The sequence below is a fragment of the Homo sapiens genome, chromosome 12 (genome assembly GCF_000001405.40).
Source record: "Homo sapiens chromosome 12, GRCh38.p14 Primary Assembly".
Lineage (NCBI taxonomy): Eukaryota > Metazoa > Chordata > Mammalia > Primates > Hominidae > Homo > Homo sapiens.
Genome location: NC_000012.12, coordinates 63,283,027 through 63,301,702, shown reverse-complemented (window position 1 = coordinate 63,301,702; position 18,676 = coordinate 63,283,027). Strand labels below are relative to the sequence as shown.

The window sequence follows — 18,676 nt, the reverse complement described above, 5'->3', positions numbered from 1 at the left end:
AGTCACACAATGCTTGAGTACATTTACATTTGTAGAAAAAAGCTTTCTTATCTATTAATCCAATTCTTCTTAGAACTTTTATAGGATCTGAATACTTGCTATGAGGGAACAGTATGTATTCAAAGAGCATGGACTTTGAATTCCAACTCTAGTACTAACACCAAATGCCTGTGGCTTTGCACAAGTGACTTCACTCTGAAGAAGCCAGAGGGCACAAATCTGAAGAACTTGTGTCAGAATACCTGAGGAAGTTACTCCTGAGCACACCCTCAAAAATTCATAAACAGCTGGAGAATATTGTGATGCAGATGAACCAGGTGGGGACTTAGTAACATTCACCACAAGAAGTGATTGTACTAATAACAACAACAATAAATGATGTATTCATACATTTAATTACTTCTTTTATTCAATAACAATTTATTGAACACCTACTATGTGTTAGGTACTGAAGATCTAGTGATAAATAAGGCAAGCAAATTTTATAGACCTTACATTTTAGTAAAAAGTGGCATAGAGTAAATAAATGAAAAGAGAATTTCAGAAAGTGATGAGTTGTGAAATAAATAGAATAGGACAAACTTATAAAGCATGATGGGTAGGGGTGGTGCTATTTTATTTGTTTTAGGGAAGACCTCACAATGATCATGTTTGAGACGAATGATAGTATATATAGCCAACCATATGAGATCTGAAAGGGAAGAGTTCCAGGTAGAAGTAATAAGTGCAAAAGCCTTAAGAGAAAAAGTTGGGCCCATTTGAGGAAAAAAAAAGAAAAACACCAGGGTGACTTGAATATCATGAGCAATGAGGAGAGTGATGGAAGATGCAGGCCCAAAGATGGGTAGGGGTTAGCTGGTACATTGCTTATTTTTGTACTTGATATCTCTGCTTGAATATATACCCTGCATCTCAAACAACATGGCCAACATTCAATCTTAAATTTCTATCTCCAATCCTGTGTCTCTGGAAGCATTTCACCACCATTCATCCAGTTTGTTCAAGCCCAAGTTCTAGGAGTCATCTTTAATCTCTGTCTCTCACACACAAAGTCTGATCTATCAGTAAGTGCTGTCAGCAATTATATAACTCTCTCCATGTTTCCATCATCACCACTTATTCTTCTAGTCCAAGACATCATCATATCTTTCTGGAAATAATGCAATAACTCCCTATATGATTTCTCTGCTTTCTTCTTCTTCCTCTATAACCCATTATTTTTATAGCAACAAAAGTTAATATTTTAAAGATGTAAATTAGATTGTGCCATTTCTGTTTTTAAAACCTTTCCATGGCTTGTCACTGAACTTAGTTTTTAATGTAGCTCTCTCCCCTATTACCCACATAAATGCTCAATTTGCATAATAGAAAGACAGCTCATTATATAAGAAAAAAAAGAGTGGATTGTCTACAAGGGTGCAAGAAGAATCACTAAAGTAAGTTAGGAAATATTTTCTCTATAACAGCTCATAGCTTGCAAACCTATTCTATTTTCTTGCTGGAAAATTGAATTTTAAATATTAGTAACTGGCATTACCCTCTTCTGTCTCCTTGCTACTTTTTGTAAGAATGTTTAATCTTTTTGGATTCCCTTTACCTATAGATGGGTACTTCAGACCAACTAGGCAAAAGTCATACAAAGGACAAGGTAAAAGAAAGAAAACCACCACCATTTTGAAATTATTAACATTTTTATGTTGTATTAGAAGAAAATGCTTTTATTGAGTATATAAAATGATAGATATTCTTAATTAGGAAACATCTCATTAATTTGTAGGCCTCATTTGAAAAGAAATCCTCAGTTTTGAACCTCTTTTATATTTCATTTGGCGAAAAGGAGTTTTCTTCATTAGAGTTTTTAAGCCAATATATATTTCTTATCAGACAGCATGGGTTTCTGAAATGCCATCTGGCCTTTTCTTTTCATTGAATAGATTGTGAGGAAGAAGAATTCGTTACAGTTTCAACCTTAAAATGAGTTTTCTTCAGGGTCAGTTGTTTGGTTAACTGTATGGTACACTGGGGGCCAAACCATAGCCATTGCCTTTCTTAAGTCCCAGAGATGGAAATGTTCTCTCCAGACGGCTACATAGAACAGAGACAGGAGAAAACTTGAATTGCCATTAGGCTGTTCAGATGGCTTGGATTATCTTAGAAATCTATTTGGCTATAGGACAAAACACTACTTCCTTTGGAGAAAAACATAATGTACATAAATTCAAATCCACAAAATAAGTCAATTAGAATGTGGTTTCAAATTCTCTGTTTTACGAGCTTGGCCTCCATAGCACTATCCCTAGAGATTTATTATTAAATTATAGGAACTCAATTTTTTTTGGTAGGCACATATTCATTTCACCAAGTGCAACTCCTATAGTAAGTTTTAGTAATATATATTTGTCCATAGCTGTAGGGGAGGCATTTCTCTGAACTGTTTGCCAGTTGTATAAGCAGATTCCTTGTTTCTTGTTCATAAAAACATAGTTATCCAGAGGATGTTTTCTTTTCTTTTTTTTTTTTTTTTACAATGATACATTTATTTTTATTCATATATGTTACCAGCCTAATCCTCTTTTAGTCAAATTCAAAAGCAATAAAATTAAAATAGTTTATGGTAGAGGGTTAAACCTGCTTCACTGCTAATTGTAGAGCATTACGGCAAATATTTTATTACTTTATTTATGATTTGTGCAAATTTATGGGATACATGAGATTTTTTTACATGTGTCTAATGCATAGTGATCAAGTCAGGGTATTTGGGGTGTCTGTCACCTGAGTACAATACATTTTTTAAAGTATAGTCATCCTACTCTGCAATCAAACATTAATTGATGCCTTCTATCCTAGTGTATGTTTGTACCCTTTAACTCACTTCTCTTCATCCTCCCTCCTCCCTGCCATTTACCTTTCCCAGTCAGAGAATGTTTTCTAAACACTCAAACTACTTGGTCATCTGTTGACATTCTTGTGAAAGCATAGTTTTATACGGTCAGTTGTTGATTCATTGTTCTTGTACAGAAAGTGAAAAGGGCATGGAAACTAGAATTAAACCACTTGGGGTTTATTTTTCCTTTTCCACCTAGTTTGGCAGCATGTTTTGGGGCAAGTCACTATTTCCTCACTTTCGAAAAGAAAGAAAAAGGGAGAGATTACAGTGTTAAATATTTCACAGATTTTCCATACAGCTTAGATGAATAGTTATCATGAAAGCATTCTCTCAATTGTTAAACAGTTGTGGTATTTTCATGAAATACATGATTATGACTTACTATTTCTCAGCTCCTAGGAGATGTCTGGTAGTATTAGTTTACATGGAATTGGTTTTCTTGTTTTATGGGGAAACTGTTACCAGCTTTCTTACTTACTGGGGGAGACAGAAGGTCATGTTGAAGCAATCTGTTTACCAAAGATTATTCCTCTTGCAAAAAGCCCGTTCCCTTTCTTCTTTCAGCAGAAAGAAACTCAGTATCCTGAGAGAAATGTATAGCTAGATGTTTTATTTTGTTTTGTTTTGTTTTGTGAGACTAAACAAAAGCTGTCTTTCCCATATGCTGAGCTCTGAGTAGGGAGTAGGTAGAATGAATCTATTTGTATTAGGAGGCTTAAGAGGCTAGGGACTTTCTAAGATTCAAAGTTTAGAGAGACCTGTTAGAATAAACCATTTGGTCCTGACCAAAAGCCAGTGTTACAGAAGAGTGACAGGCTCCTAATGTCCATGAGAGTGGGGCTGTAGTTCTAGTGATTATATTTGGTCTCAGTCATTATATTCCAGTGATTATACTTGATAAACAACAGTTGAACGTGGGAATGTAAATTAGAAATTACTTTATCGCTTAGCGAGAAAAAGTGTTTATAGTATGCTACTGTTTACCTAGGTAAGGACCATAAAAGGATAACTTTAAAATTACGAGAAAAAAAAGTTACTATGTAGAAGGGGAAGACTAGTATGGCAAAGACAAAGATAGAAACTAAAATTTCAAAAATATACTTTGCTTGCAGTTTTGACTTTAGGGCCACGTAAATCTTTTGCACAAATATAGAACAAAATTTAATTTAGAAAAACAGCCCCTAAGAGTTGAAGGCAAATGAAAATGGAAGTTAATTGCTTATTAAGTTGGTGGCACAACTTTTCAGACAAGCTTAAGGCACAGTGATTCCAATGTACATTGCCTATAGACTATAACCTAAAGACAAAAAGGAATTAAAAAGAAAATTCATAAACTTTATTGGTATCCATATGTGCTAGTGATGTTGCTATTCTGAGACCATTTTGTGTGTTTTGTGGAATAAAGCAAATAAGTAATGATGTTGGTGTTATTGGGAACCAGGAATTTTAGCATAGGAGAAAGGTGATACAGATGTAAGTTCAATTAGGTTTCAGTTGTTTACCGATGATCCCAGGGTAACCAAATATTTGAGGAAGAGATTTTTTTAATAGACATATCCAATCAAGGACTGAAGAGGAAATGAAAGAATATCACATTTTGCAAACCATAATTGATGTATTAATGAATCTAGGCAATAGTCATCCATTACTGTCAACATTTGAAAAGAAGACATTTAGATAAGTGTTCCTGATGGAAGTACACAATACCACCCATGAAGTCATTATACCCCAATAATCCAACCTGAATCTAATAAGCTTCTAATAATTTCCCATCAATATAGGAGGATCAAAGAATATGTTAAGTGGCACAAATGGGATGCAATCAGCAAAATTCAGACAATAGAAAACATAATAGGACAAACTATCATTTACTTAAAAAATCTATCTATCTTTCTATCTATCTATCATCTATCTATCTAATCTATCTATGGAAAAAGAAAAAAGGTAGAGGGGGAACGTACAGAATAAAATAGACTTAAGAGACCTGTTGCAATTATGAACTTTATTTGGATTCTGATTTCTACAAACAAATTATAAAAAATAAATTATTAAAACATTTGTGAGACAACTGGGGGAATTTGAATGCTGGTTGGATAGTTGATGATAAAATGCACATATTTATATTTTAAGTGTGATAATGGCATCACATTTAAAATGGGTTTAGGTTTTCTTTTTAATAATCCTTATCTTTAGTGCTGCAAATAATACTACAAATAAAGTGATATGATTCTGGCATTTCCTTTAAAATGTTGGGTGTGAGGAGGATAGGTAGGGAAGAATATAGATGAACAAGATTATCCATACACTGAAAATTACTGAACTGGATGATGGGTATACTATATTCTGGTATATGTTTGAATTAGTCCATGATAAGTAGAACAAGAAATAATCATCCCCATACAGCATGGGCACACCCGAAAGCATGGGCATCCCCACAGCATGGGCACACCCAAAGCCTGGGCTAGGACCTGATCATCATGAGTGTGCTTTAGCAGTAGTGAACAATCACAGTCTGCTCATCTATGCAGGGCTGCTCTTCAACAGTGCTGAACCACGTTGAACAATCATGTGGCACAGATGCACTAGCCAGGGTCCAGCTCCTACCCAGTTGGAGTTTTGGAAGCTGGACTGATAGACTTGGGATTGAGTTAGGTTCCTGGTGTTCTTGAATAAATTGAGGAGTAGGAAAAACCTCCAGAATGATATCCTGAAATTTCATCTAACAAGAAACAGTGGTGGCTCCAAAGTAAATTGGCATAAAAAAGAGATGAGTCTCTATTTTGTAAATGTAGACTTAGTAAAACAGTTATACTGGTTAAATGAGATTCACATCATGAATAGATTTTAATTCTGTAAATCCTATGTTGATTTTTCTCCTATTACAAAACATGTTTTCTAAAACTTCTGAAAATCTACATTTCAATACTGATTAATTCAAGAGATAAAATAATTTTTATATATGCAATATATGTAGTTACTATTTAAACAAGAATTGAGTTGGCTTCATGTGCTAACCAAAGAGCTTTTCATTGCTTTTAGGATCATATCTAAGCTTCTTAACACAATCTAATAAGCCATTCATCCCTTCTATCCCACCACACCATATTCCAGCTTCATTTTTCGTTCTTTCAGTTTGTTAACCTTCTTTAATGCCTGAGATATCTTGCACTTAGGATTCTCTCTTCCCCAAAGCCCTTTCCCTATACTCCCACCCCATCGTTGTCCTGATCAAGTTCTACTTGTAACTAGGGACCAGATTAAATGTCTCCCAATGATGTCTTCACTGATAATTCAGAGTAGAATGGTACCCCTGATAAATTTCAGTAGCATCCTGCCCTTCACCTTTTGTAAAACTTCCATCTATGATTATGTAAGTATTTGTCCCTGTTTTGGTTACTGTTCATCTCTGTGACTAGAATGAATGAATGTTACATGAGACTGGAACAACTCCTGTCTTGTTTTCTGCTCCGTCCCAGCACTTAGAGTAGGCTACCTTGTTACCTAATAAATATTTGCTGAATTAATGAATGAAATCCTCATAGTGTTTTCCTTACTGAAAATCCTAAAGCTGTTTTCTCATATTTGGCGACCTACACTTGAGATATTTATCAAGATTTGTTCTATTTAAATTCTTAGCTCATCATTGACAAAAGCCAGATTTCTTTAATCTACTGTTTTGCTCCATCTAGTGACAATGTTTTAATCAAAATGTCTATTGTGTGAGTACTATTTTCAGTTTTAAGTGAAATGAGAAAGGAAACAGAACATTTTTGCCATTTTGTAGACAGGAATGACAAACAATGAGATTGTCAGATATTTAAATACAGATGTGTTGGCTCCAAATTTAAACTTACTGCTTGCAGCCTCCTAGCCCATCAATTATACTAGCATTTTCCTATTGTAGGCCAAGATTATCAGCTACTTGTAGATTTGTAGAACAACTTGGTTATTCTTTCTCTAAAAAACCCTCTTTAAAATTACATGAACACAACATGTTTTTGAATGTTGAATGATCAAGAGACCTAAAGAAACAAGAAGAATAATCTCCAAAGTGTTCACCACCCAGAGATACACTTGGTTTGTATATATTTTTGTTGTTTGTAATTTTAATGAAATTTCCATTACTCAGTGCCTGGACAAGGTCTGTAGTTTGATCTATATAATTTATACTCTTTTAATCTCCACAAAATGGATCCTATTTTATATACTGTCTGTAAGGTAATATTTTCTTTATGCTAAATATATCACAACTATGTGGTCTGGTAGGCAAGGAAAATCCACCTTTTATTTCTAGGAATGAAAGGTTTTGTGGTGTGTTCCTTAGAATATGCTTCCTGTGGACACTCAGTGAGTGCCTGTTGGCTGAGTCATGCCTGACTGCTGCTTTGTTTTCTTAAATAACATGAAACCTTGAAAACAAACTTACCAGTAACTATGATGGTTAATAAGTGACATACGGGACTGCTGTTTGTGGAAACATGAAAATTTAATTGTTCCTACCCTTGAGCTGACTGATTCCTCAGTGAATTCAGTGGAACTCATCTTAACATTATTATCTAAAATTCATTAGTCCTCAGTGTCTAATGTGTTCAAAAGTATAAGGTTTTATACTCTAAATTTTCTCTTGGAATGTGTCAGTACTAAAACTTCCCTATAAGTTTATTTATAATCCTTTAGTCTTAAATCTGTACTCTCATAGCGTGCCAGGCCGTATAACATCTTGTTATAATTATTTCACTGGACTTGCGAGGGACATTCCATCCAAACCTGCCACTTGGTTTGGAGTTAAGCATAAACAAACCAAATCTATTTTTACGTTCAACAATACTAAGAGGTCCCACTGCTTATCACATTATGATATGGAGGTCTAAATTCCCCAAGCCAAAACAAAATAAAACAACAATAGCAACAACAATTTGTCCCCTCTCTCAGTGGCCTTAAGTATCCCAAGTTGCTGTGGCTCTTCCATTTCATTATTTATGTATGTTGTTATTTGTTGGCTCAACATTCCAGCATCCTTCCCATAAGCTTATCTTCTCCCACTTCCCAAAACCACACGACTCAGAAGTAAACACATACTCTTATAAGAACACCCAGCACTTTGAGAGGCGGAGGTGGGTGGATCGCCTGAAGTCAGGAATTCGAGACCAGCCTGACCAACATGGTGAAACCCCGTCTCTCCAAAATACAAAAAAAATTAGCCGGGCCTGGTGGCACATGCCTGTAATCCCAGCTACCTGGGAGGGTGAGGCAGGAGAATTGCTTGAACCTGGGAGGCGGAGGTTGCAGTGAGCCAAGATTGCACCATTGCACTCCAGCCTGGGCAACAGAGCAAAACTCCATCTCAAAAAAAAAAAGAAAAGAAAGAAAGAACATGATGGCTTACATTGTATAATCAGTATGTAATTACAGGAATGTAGAAGACGCACATAGAAAATCACAAGGATAAATCTCAAAAGCGAGTTCATTAATTCTTAAATCTTGTTTATTCCTAACCTTTGAACTCTGGCCACAACTTTTTGAAAATATACCTTTCTGGTTTTAACCCACATCTTCTTAATGTTTTCTGCATTTTTTATTAGACCCAAATCTCTAAAGTAAATGGTCAGTGGAAACTACAGATATTTTCCAGGCACTGAGTAATGGAAATTTCATTACAATTACATATTGGCACATCATGCATTTTAATTGCTTCCACAGTTCACAGAGACAATGCATATGTAAACACCCACTCAAATCCTAGAAGCTTCAGAATATTTCTTTTTGTGATCTGATGGTACTTGTGGTTGCCATAGAAAGGAGAAAGCAGGAATGTACTATCAGAATTTAAAGTTCCTTTTCATGATATTCTGCTTACATTCTTCTGCCTACCTTGCCAGATTGCTGTCAACAAATGCTAATCACCAATCATGGAAGAATTGCTTGACTAATACGAAAGGAAGCATGGTTTGCCCAGTGTGGGCTCCCTACACTCAAAGCATTGGCTACACTGCAGACAGAAACTGTACAGAAGTGGATGGCATGCTAACAGAGATGAGAAATGACAACTGACATCTAACAACAACGTATGGAAACTAGTTTTATGGAAACTATTTCCCATAAATAAGAATTGTAAGGTGCACATGTTTCCATAGCAACCTCTTCTGTTGTGTTCAATCCTGTGAAACAGAAATATAAAAACAAACACAACCATGTATGTGTGGAGAGCCATTCTGATGACCTGCAGAATAGGGAATGTAGAGTGCAATTTCTAGACCTTTCTCTTCCAGGTTTATTGTTTCTCCTATCCTAGGAAGCCTCTCATTTAATAATATGGTTTTGGCCATTTGTGGCATTCACATTGGCACCACAAATACTAATAGTTTTAGTAACCAACTGGTAGAGTGTTACCATTTGCTAGGCACTGGGCTAAACCCTTCATCATCTTTGTAAACTCTCACCATAAACCTATGGGACAAATAATTTTATTAACCTCATTTTACAGACAAGGACACTGAGGTAGAGAGTTGTTAAATGACTTTTCCAAGATCACTTCGCTAAGAAAAAAACAGAGGCAGGGCAAAATCTTGATGTCAGTTCCTTCTGACTCAAACATTCATGCTTTATGTTGGTAAGTTCAGTAGTCAAGAAGTTCATTGCTTCCTCTTAGGTATTTTTACTAAAATTTAGGAGTGTGGCCATCAGAAGTGTTGCCTCTGCTGAGGTGATATTGTCCAAGCAGCAGGTCTGTACCTACTGAGGTTTGGATAAAATGAGGTGCCCTCTTTAAAAATTAAGCCCTAGGTATTCTTATTTTACTTTTGCTTTAAAATATTCATAGGAAAGCAATGGTAAAGGAGGGGACTTGGGGGAGAGCAGCACTGGTCTTTTATATCCATCTACTGCCTCCCACCTTTACCCCCCAGCTTGTGCCATCAGGCAAGAGAGTGCTGAAGTTCTAGAGCCACAGAAAGAGGTAAGAGAAAGTACGATAGAGGATAGAGTGGCTCAAGAGGAAAAGGAAAACACAGTGTGACTGTGGGACAAAAGCAAATCTCTGTTACCCTTGGTCTTGAGCACTCCTTAAGAGGCGTTCAGAGAGAGGAAAACCCAAGAAGGCCTAGGATGCTGCTACTCTGGCAGGTGGGGGTGTGCAGGCCTGACTATTAGGTAGTTGATATAATTATGATCTCAGCTATGCTAACTGGCCAGAGAAGCCTGGACATCCATGTTAGTCTTGCAAGTCCTCCTTTTAAAAGAAAACAAGAAGTGTATTAGTCAGTTCTCATGCTGTTAGAAAAGACTGCCCAAGACTGGGTAATGTATAAAGGATAGAGGTTTAATTGACTCACAGTTTCACATGGCAGAGAACTTAACTTACAATCAGTGGAAGGGGAAGCAAACACCTTCTTCTTCACATAATGGCCCCTTAAAACAACCATCAGATCTCGTGAGAGCTCACTTATGATAATGAGAAAAGCAGCATGGGGATAACTGCCCTCATGATTAAATTACCTCCCACCAGCTCCCTCCCATGACACATAGGGATTATGGGAACTACAATTCAAGATGAGATTTGGGTGGGGACACAGCCAAACCATATCAAGCAGGGTGTGGTGGCATGTGCCATGTGCCTATAGTCCCAGCTACTTAGGAGGCTGAGGTGGGAGGATCATTTGAGCCCAGGAGTTCAAGGCCAGCCAGCCTTGGTAACATAGTGAGACCCTGTCTCTAAATAATAATAATACGTAAAAAAGGAAAAATGAAAAAAAAGAAGCAGAGCAGAACTCTACCAAGCAGATGAACTTTATATGAAATGCTAGTTTAAAGGTCTTTTCTATGACATGAAATATAAAGCAAACAAAGTCTAAGTAATAATGCATTATTTTTTCTCATCAACCTACAGCTGTTATCAATAACTGTTAATTATTATGCCACATTTTTGGCAGTGATAAAGCAGGCAAATAAAATGGATCAGGATTGGGAATGAAGCCAGACTGTTGGGCAGAACGATTTATGCAGGACACAGATCAGAGAATGCACGAGTTTACGTAGGCCAGGTGTAAAGTTATCAAGAGTCCTAAAGGCAAGACTAAGTCAAAGAGCAATGTACCAGATCTACCTGGAAGATGCAAGAATGTTTGAGATTTGACTAATTGTCCTGTGGGGAAAATTTAGAGATGTAAGCTGAGAAGGAAATGCAGGTTAGATCGACTAGCCTGCATTAGTTAGATCAATTAACTAACATTAGTTAGTAGTAGAAGGGTAATGGTGTAAGAACTAGAGTCAGTGTCTAAAGTTGCAAGCAGAGCAGATGACACAGGAAGAAGTCAATTCAAGCATAAGGCTTGGGCTAGCGATAAACATGAGAAAAAGAGAAGGGAGCATTGGAACTCAACAAAGATATATTAATCTACATGAATCCATAATCGACTGTTGATTTTTGGAAAGGAAATTTTTGCCTTCTGAATCCATTCGTAGTAGCCTTTCTCTTCTATTATGGGCAGGTATGGGTAAGAGTCAAAGATACCCATGAATAGCTTTGGTTTGTGTACTTCCTAAAATAATTTGTAAAACTGTGCAACTGCTCATAATTTTAAGTTGATAGCTAAAGATTTTTCCCCTATGTTTCAATAATTGCAATGGATATAATTATGCATTGAAAATATGGACATTTTAAAATAAAATTGTTACATCACTCTTAAATACAGTCAGTTAAATCTAAACAACTAAGCTAGTTGATATCCACTACAATTCGTTTTATGAATACATGAATCACTTCTGCAATAACAGTCAGAAATTTTATATTTCTCATTAAACAGATGTTGCCACTTAAATTCCACCAAAGAATTTAATTTACTATGTTTTGTGTTTGAAAGTCCTTTTAAAATATGAACAGACACTTCTCAAAAGAAGACATACAAGCAGCCAACAAACAGATGAAAAAATGCTCAATGTCACTAATCAGAGAAATACAAATCAAAACCACAATGAGATACTATCTCATACCAGTCAGAATGACTGTTATTAAAAAGTCAAAAAACAACAGATGTTGGCAAGGCTGCAGAGAAAAGGGAACACTTTACGCTGTTCTTGGGAAGGTAAATTAGTCCAGCCACTGTGAAAAACAGTTTGGAGATTTCTCAAAGAATTTAGAACTACCATTTGACCCAGCTGTGTATATATCCAAAAGAAAGTACATCATTCTACCAAAAAGCCACATGCACTTGTATGTTCGTTGCAGCACTATTCACACTAGCAAAAGCATGGAATCAACCTAGATGCCCATCAATGGTAGATAGGGTAAAGAAAATGTGGTACAAATACACCATAGAACACTATGCAGCCATAAAAAAGAATGAAATCTTGTCCTTTGCAGCAATAAGGATGAAGCTGGTGGCCATTATCCTAAGCAAATTAACACCAGAACAGAAAGCTAAATACCACATGTTCTCACTTGTAAGTGAGCTAAATATTGGATATGTATGGACATAAAAATGGCAACAGTAGAAACTGGGAACTACTGAAAGGAGGGAGGGAGGAAGAAAAAGTGTTGATTAACTATTGGGTACTGGACCTTATTTGTTCTTTCAGTCAGGAAGTTTGGGTCAGGAAAACAGAACTACTCTAGGTATTTCAATCAAGATGAGGTTTAATATAGGATATTAGTTGCTTACAAAATCATTTACAAGTGCTAAGGGAGTAAAGATTGGGAAAAACTTGCACTAACTTCCAGAGAATCAGAACGTTGCAGAAATTGTAGAAAACTACCACCAATGATGTAATGCTATTGGCAGCATTAAAGCCAGAGACTTACAGAAGAATATCTGAGGACAGTTGAAAACCTCATATCAACTGTCTTCCAAAGCTCTTGAGTATGTCTGCTAATGCCAGAAAGAAATGATATTGCTTCTGGCTCTCTGTTGCTTCTAAATTTAATATGAGTGCCTTCTATTAGCAAAACTCTAACTAGGAATGCTGTTGTTGAGGAAATCCGAGAAACGTAGTTTCTATGTTTTCAATACTTGTAATTCAAGGCAGAACATAGGATTGTCAACAGAAAATCTAGCACAATCACATAGCTGTGAAACTGCAGAGCCTACCCTGTTACTGATATCTTTTGGAATGAGTATGTGATCCACCAGACCACTTATCCTAAATCCATTACTATGGGTTGTTGTACATGTACAATGGCTGTGGGATAGGGAAAGGGGGAAATCTGAGAGAAGATTGAGGGTAGGGTAACTGTGAAATTGTCCAAGGTTATTGTCTATAGGGATCATAAGCATATTTCTAGAAATATGAGGAAGTGGAGATAATTATGTTTATTAGAGCTCTTCTCACAAAGTGTGCACGATCTTGTACAAAATGCTTAGGTAGGTAAGAGGATCTATAAACTGAGAAGCTTAACTTCAAAATGCATTTTGAAATTTTTTTTCCTTTCTTTCTTAATCTCAAAATGTAGCCTTGTATGTTAAAATTCTTGGTTTCTCTTTTGTCCACCAGGTACTTGCGTGCATAGTACATGCTTATCTAATTATGTGCTTGCTTAGAAATTCCAGGGGCTAATTTTGAAACAAACCAGGTATAGGCCCAGCTGCAGAATTTTCCCACTTAAGGGGAGTTATGAACAATTAGTCCTCCACCCACCGGGCCAAAGCCAAGACGACACCACGGGGATCTCTAGACAGGCGATTACTCAAGATAGCTATCAGAACAAAACATACAGACCCGCACCCCCCTACAACACTCCTCCACATCTCCTATACAAGTTTTTCTTCTTAAACCCCTTCACTCAGCCCCAAAAGTTGGATAGATCTTTTAAAGGCATGAGGCTGGTCAGTTCCCAATTGCTAGCATTTGATTAATAAAATGGCTTTCCTTTCACCATACCTCGCTTCTTGTGTTTTCGTCCTCTGACTGGTGAGCAGCTGGGTTTGATCCAGTTACAGACCCTTAGAAGGTAAAGTCCTAGAGAGATTGCTAAGTTTTCTGTTAAGACAGATAGGCGGAGTCAAACTCACTAACCAAAGGTCATCAGGAACATCCCTGTATTCACAAATTTATTTGTTAGGTTGATTAATTTAGTGAGGCAAGAAAGACCATACCCAGAGAAACTTCAGGAGTGTTAAGATACTAAGGAACACTCAGGAGAAGCTTATTCTATATTTGGGCTGTTGACGGTTGGTTCTGAAAGGAGTTTGAGGAATCAAGGACCAGTTTTGGATGGGATGCTGTCAAGAAATACAGACAATTTGATGACCGGCTATCTTAACAATTTTGGCCCAAAGACAGTAAGATTAAATTGGAGCTGGGGTTGCCATTAGAAGGGAAATAGAAATCACTCAAAAAAGAGGGATGTTAGTAAATTTTGTGGTAGCAGTTCAGTCTTGCCTATCTTTTAGGAACTTTTTTTTCTGTTAATAGCATTGATTATGCTTGTAAATTTGGAACCAGAGCTGAATTGCTCAGGAAACCACGTGCTGCTAATCCCGAAACCACCAGCAGTCCTGTCTCTCTGTCTTTCCTCCTAAACTGCACTCATTCTGACATCTGCATTAATGCTAAATACATATTTAGGGATTTCAGTGGAGGGGCACTAAGATATTAGACCTCCCTGGGGCACTCCTCATGTCTCAACCCATTTATGAGTTTGTTAGAAACAATATGCAATTTGTTTTTAGTTTCATCAGCGACTCCTCCAACTGATTCTTCCAAAATACTATGATTGGGAAACCAATAAGCAGGATGCAGATATTGATTAGTACAAATGTAACTATGAGTATAACTCAGAACAGAAACATGGACTATGGATTCTTCCAGAAAATACAGTATGGTTACCCTTTTAATAAAACTTTTATTGTTCTTTATGACCACACCCCTCCTTCTGCCAGAGAAAGACTGCTCAGCAGGCTGATTGTATTGGGGTAGGAGCATGGTAGATAAGAGCAGTGGCACTGGGGACATGGATAGTAGCAGATCCAGAATCCAAAAAGCCACTTCAGTCCTTTCCTGGGCTCCCTGGCACCCCATCCTCATAGAAAGCAAAAATCAGAAGAGCTGGACACACCCTGGAAATTAATTAGGATTGGAATAGCACTGTATTCTTGAGTTAGGCACCCCACTGGGGAGTCTGCCTTTACCCCCAGAGATGGAAGAAAGTGTGCACTGTAGGAGCTTGTATTTTTATGTGCTGAGATGCGGCTTTATGGAAATAAGGGCACCCACAGCAGGATGCTTTGTGTTAGTGTATAACTTACAAAATTAGGCACATTTGTCTAGAGTTTCTGTTCTTTCTTGAGCAGACTAGAAGAAGAGAATAATTATATCTTAATGGGACTGACATTTGTTTTCAATGAGATGTTCTTGTTCACTAAGTAGTCATCAAATATGACAATTATAGGGAATGTGTTGTTCTCGAATGAAATTTCAGTAACGCTGGACTTCCTGCTGTGATCATATGCATTATGTACCTCGTGTGGGTGCCCTGCAGCAGTCATCAGGAGACATAAACAAGAACAAGACCCACACCTTAGAATATGGAGGCCTAGAGGCAGGGAGACTGCTTCAGCATTTTCCCCTTAAAAATCAGGTCTTACTGAGGTGGAAAGAGAATGAGCTTTGGAACAAATGAATATCGAATAAACCCTCTACTTTGCCATTTACTTGCTCTATGGCTATAGAAAATGCCTCTAACTTCTCTGAGTGCTGATTTTCATATCTACAAAATGGGATTAATAATGCTTACATCATGGGTTTTAAATGTATAGGCACAAATCATTTGCTAGACATGCAACTATTTCTTTGGAAATAAATTCACCTTGTTCATGAGCCTACATTTGTGTTTGGTAGCAGAAAACCTGTAGTCAAGTGTATTAATCAGAGTTCTCCAGAGAGACAGAAGGAGAGAGAGGGAGAGAGAGAGATGAAAGGAGATTTATTAGGAGAATTGGCTCATGAAAATTATGGGGTCTGAGAAGTTCCACACTGGCTGTCTGCAAGCTAGAGACCCTGGGATGCCAGTAGTGGTGGTGTTGCTCAGTCTAAGTCTGAAGGCCTGAGAACAAGGTGGAGGTGAGTGGAGAGGGGTGCTGGTGTAATTCCTGGAGTCTAAAGTCTGGCTTGAGAGCCTGGAGTCCTGACATTCAAGGTCAGGGGAAAAAGAGTGTATCCCAGTTCCAGGGGAGAAAAAGATCAATTTGCCTTTCTTCTGTTTTTGTTCTATCCAGGCCCCCAGTGATTAGACAATACCCACCCACATCAAGGGCAGACCTTCCCCACTTAGTCCACTCAGGCTCACACACCAATCATTCTGGTAACACCTGCACAGATGCACCCCAAAACAATGTTTTACCAGTTCTTCAGGTATTTCTTAGTCCAGCCAAGTTGACACCTAGAATGAACCATCGTTTCAAAAGATGTAGCCTTTGGTTTAAGACAGTCTTTTTAAGTGATTATTCAATCAATTTAGGAATTCAATTTGTTCATTTCAAACACCATATTTTCCCTTAGGGCTCCTTCTCTTCTCTTTGGGCAAGAAAGAGCTCATGGCAGTGAAGACAGTGAGTTCACTTGTGTCCTCTGAGTCTTTATTGGCCTTCCCTGAGACATGGTAACCTTCTTGGTCTTTTGCCTTTATGTCTACTCATTCCTGTCTAGGTAGCCTGACATCTGTTCTCATGGCACAGATAGTGCAGAATTATTCTCTCCAGAGTGATGGGGTCCCCAGAAATGCAGTTTCATCCTCCAGCAGAATTTTGTTTCAAGGCTGTCTATTCATAGCTTCTGCAAAAGGAAGGCCTCTCTTGCCTCAGTTACTCCCAGGCAGGCACTCTCTTCTTAGCTAGCTTTTCCACCTCTTTTTAGGGGCTTTGGAGACATTTTGAGGCTGAGGTCACTAAGACATCCTGCATCCTCTTCTCACTTAGGCCTTGACCTTAAGCATAGATCGATCCTAAAGCTGAACACCAAATGGCTTGAATGAGACCTTCAAATAGAGATCCTTGTGTTTGATGGCACAACATGAAGAAAAAAGCATGAGGATTGGACCAGAGTGACCTGGGTTCCCAGCTTTACCACCTAGTAGATGGATCCTTGGGAATGAAAGAAAGAAATCTCTCTCTCTCTCTCTCCTGCTCTCACTCTCTCTGTCACTATATCTCTGCTTCTTCTTCAGCAAACCAGATGAAATAATGCCCACCTTTCGGGTTTCTCAGGGTTAAACGAAGTATTGAAAGCAAAGCATCTGGAACATAGTAGATGATCAATGAATGTTAATTTTCTTTCCTCCCATTCCTAATCAGGCATGGCAAGTGGGAGAATAGTACTTCTAAAATTTCACTGTCTGCCAGATTGGGTTACTACCTGGTCTATTTAAGCATCTGTTTTTCCCTGTGGGTTTTATTTCAGTTTTTAAGGAAAATAATTAAGAATATGTTAATACAACCAAACATATGCCATCTTCACCCTGAGTAATGAAATAAAAAACTGTTGATGGAGTCAGCAATATCTTGAAACATGCATGGACACTTAAAAATATCCTATTAAGAGAACTGAAAATTACTAAATTAGTGACTTGGTTGGAAGACTGTGAGATCTGAAGAAAAGAGCACAGAAAGATGAAACCATAGCTTGGTGATAAGTTGAATTGCTAATTTACTTAACCATTTGAGGCAAGTTGCTACATCTTGAACCTCCACACTTTTATTTTCTATCAGCAGAGCAAATTAAAAATAACTTATAAAATATCCGGCTGTAATTAAAATAATACATTATTGTTTAAATCATTATTGTCTGTGCCTATCTATTTTTAGTACTATATAATTTAGGTAACAGAATTGTTTTTCTCTCTTACTATGAAAGCAAAGAGTTTAATGAATGTTCTGAAACATGTCTCTTTGGGCACATATGCCAGGGTTTCTTTGGAGTATATGACCAGAAATGGGATTGTTGGGATATAGGATATAAGAATGTTTGAAAGTACCTATTACCCAGCCTACCTGCCAATATTTGATATTTTGAGACTTTTAAGCTTTTACCCTTCTGGTGGTATGTGTGCAACGGTATCACTTTTTGGTTTTAATAGGCATTTCCCTGATTACTAATGAGCAACTCTTTGTATTACACACTTTTACATTAGCTTTAATCAGCTCTTCCTATCATTATTGACCTCTTCTGTTAAGTACTTAGCCACATATTTCGCTGATATATTTCTACTGGATTGGCATTTTTAAAAAATTGTCTCAGGACTTTGTATATTCTAGATACCATTCCTTTGGCCATTATTTGCATTGCAAATATTTTCTACCAGCTTTGTGTTTATCTTTTGACTGTTTTCAATGTCTTTGAATAATAAAAGTTTATTTTAATGTAGTATATTAACTCATTTTAATAAGTATTAATTACTCCTTGGTGGTTTGTACATTTTATGCTGTTGGCACATTTTATGCTGTTTGAGAAAGTTTTCCTAGTAGGAAGTGATAAATATATTCTTTTTTATTTTTTCCAAATGACTTAAGCTTATCAAAAATTGATGAAGATACTCTCACACATTTTCTTCTAAACGGTTTTTTTTTTTGAGACTAAGTCTCACTGTGTGTGTTGCCCAGGCTGGAGTGCAGTGGTGCGATCTTGGCTCACTCACACCTCCACCTCCCGGGTTCAAAAGTTTTAAAGTTTTGCCTTTCACATTTGAGTTTTTGATACATTGGAATTGAATTTTGTATATGGTGTAGAGATCTAATTTCATGTGTCTCATATTCATAACCAGTTGCCCCAGAACCATTTCTGGAATATATTATTTTCTTTGCT

At 37.1% G+C, this 18,676-nt stretch overlaps 1 long non-coding RNA gene across 3 annotated transcripts in view; it reads left to right on the top strand.

Annotated features, from left to right (window-relative positions):
* LINC03056 (long intergenic non-protein coding RNA 3056) overlaps positions 1-18,467 on the top strand; it is a 90,518-nt gene extending 72,051 nt beyond the window's left edge. For 2 of the 3 annotated variants that reach the window (XR_007063345.1, XR_007063343.1), the window contains exon 2: positions 8,767-11,572. This is a non-coding gene — a long non-coding RNA (long intergenic non-protein coding RNA 3056). Of the gene's footprint in view, positions 1-8,766; positions 11,573-16,794 lie in introns of those variants that run through there. The other variant, XR_007063344.1, reaches the window with a different exon arrangement.
* Positions 18,468-18,676: the final 209 nt, after the last annotated feature.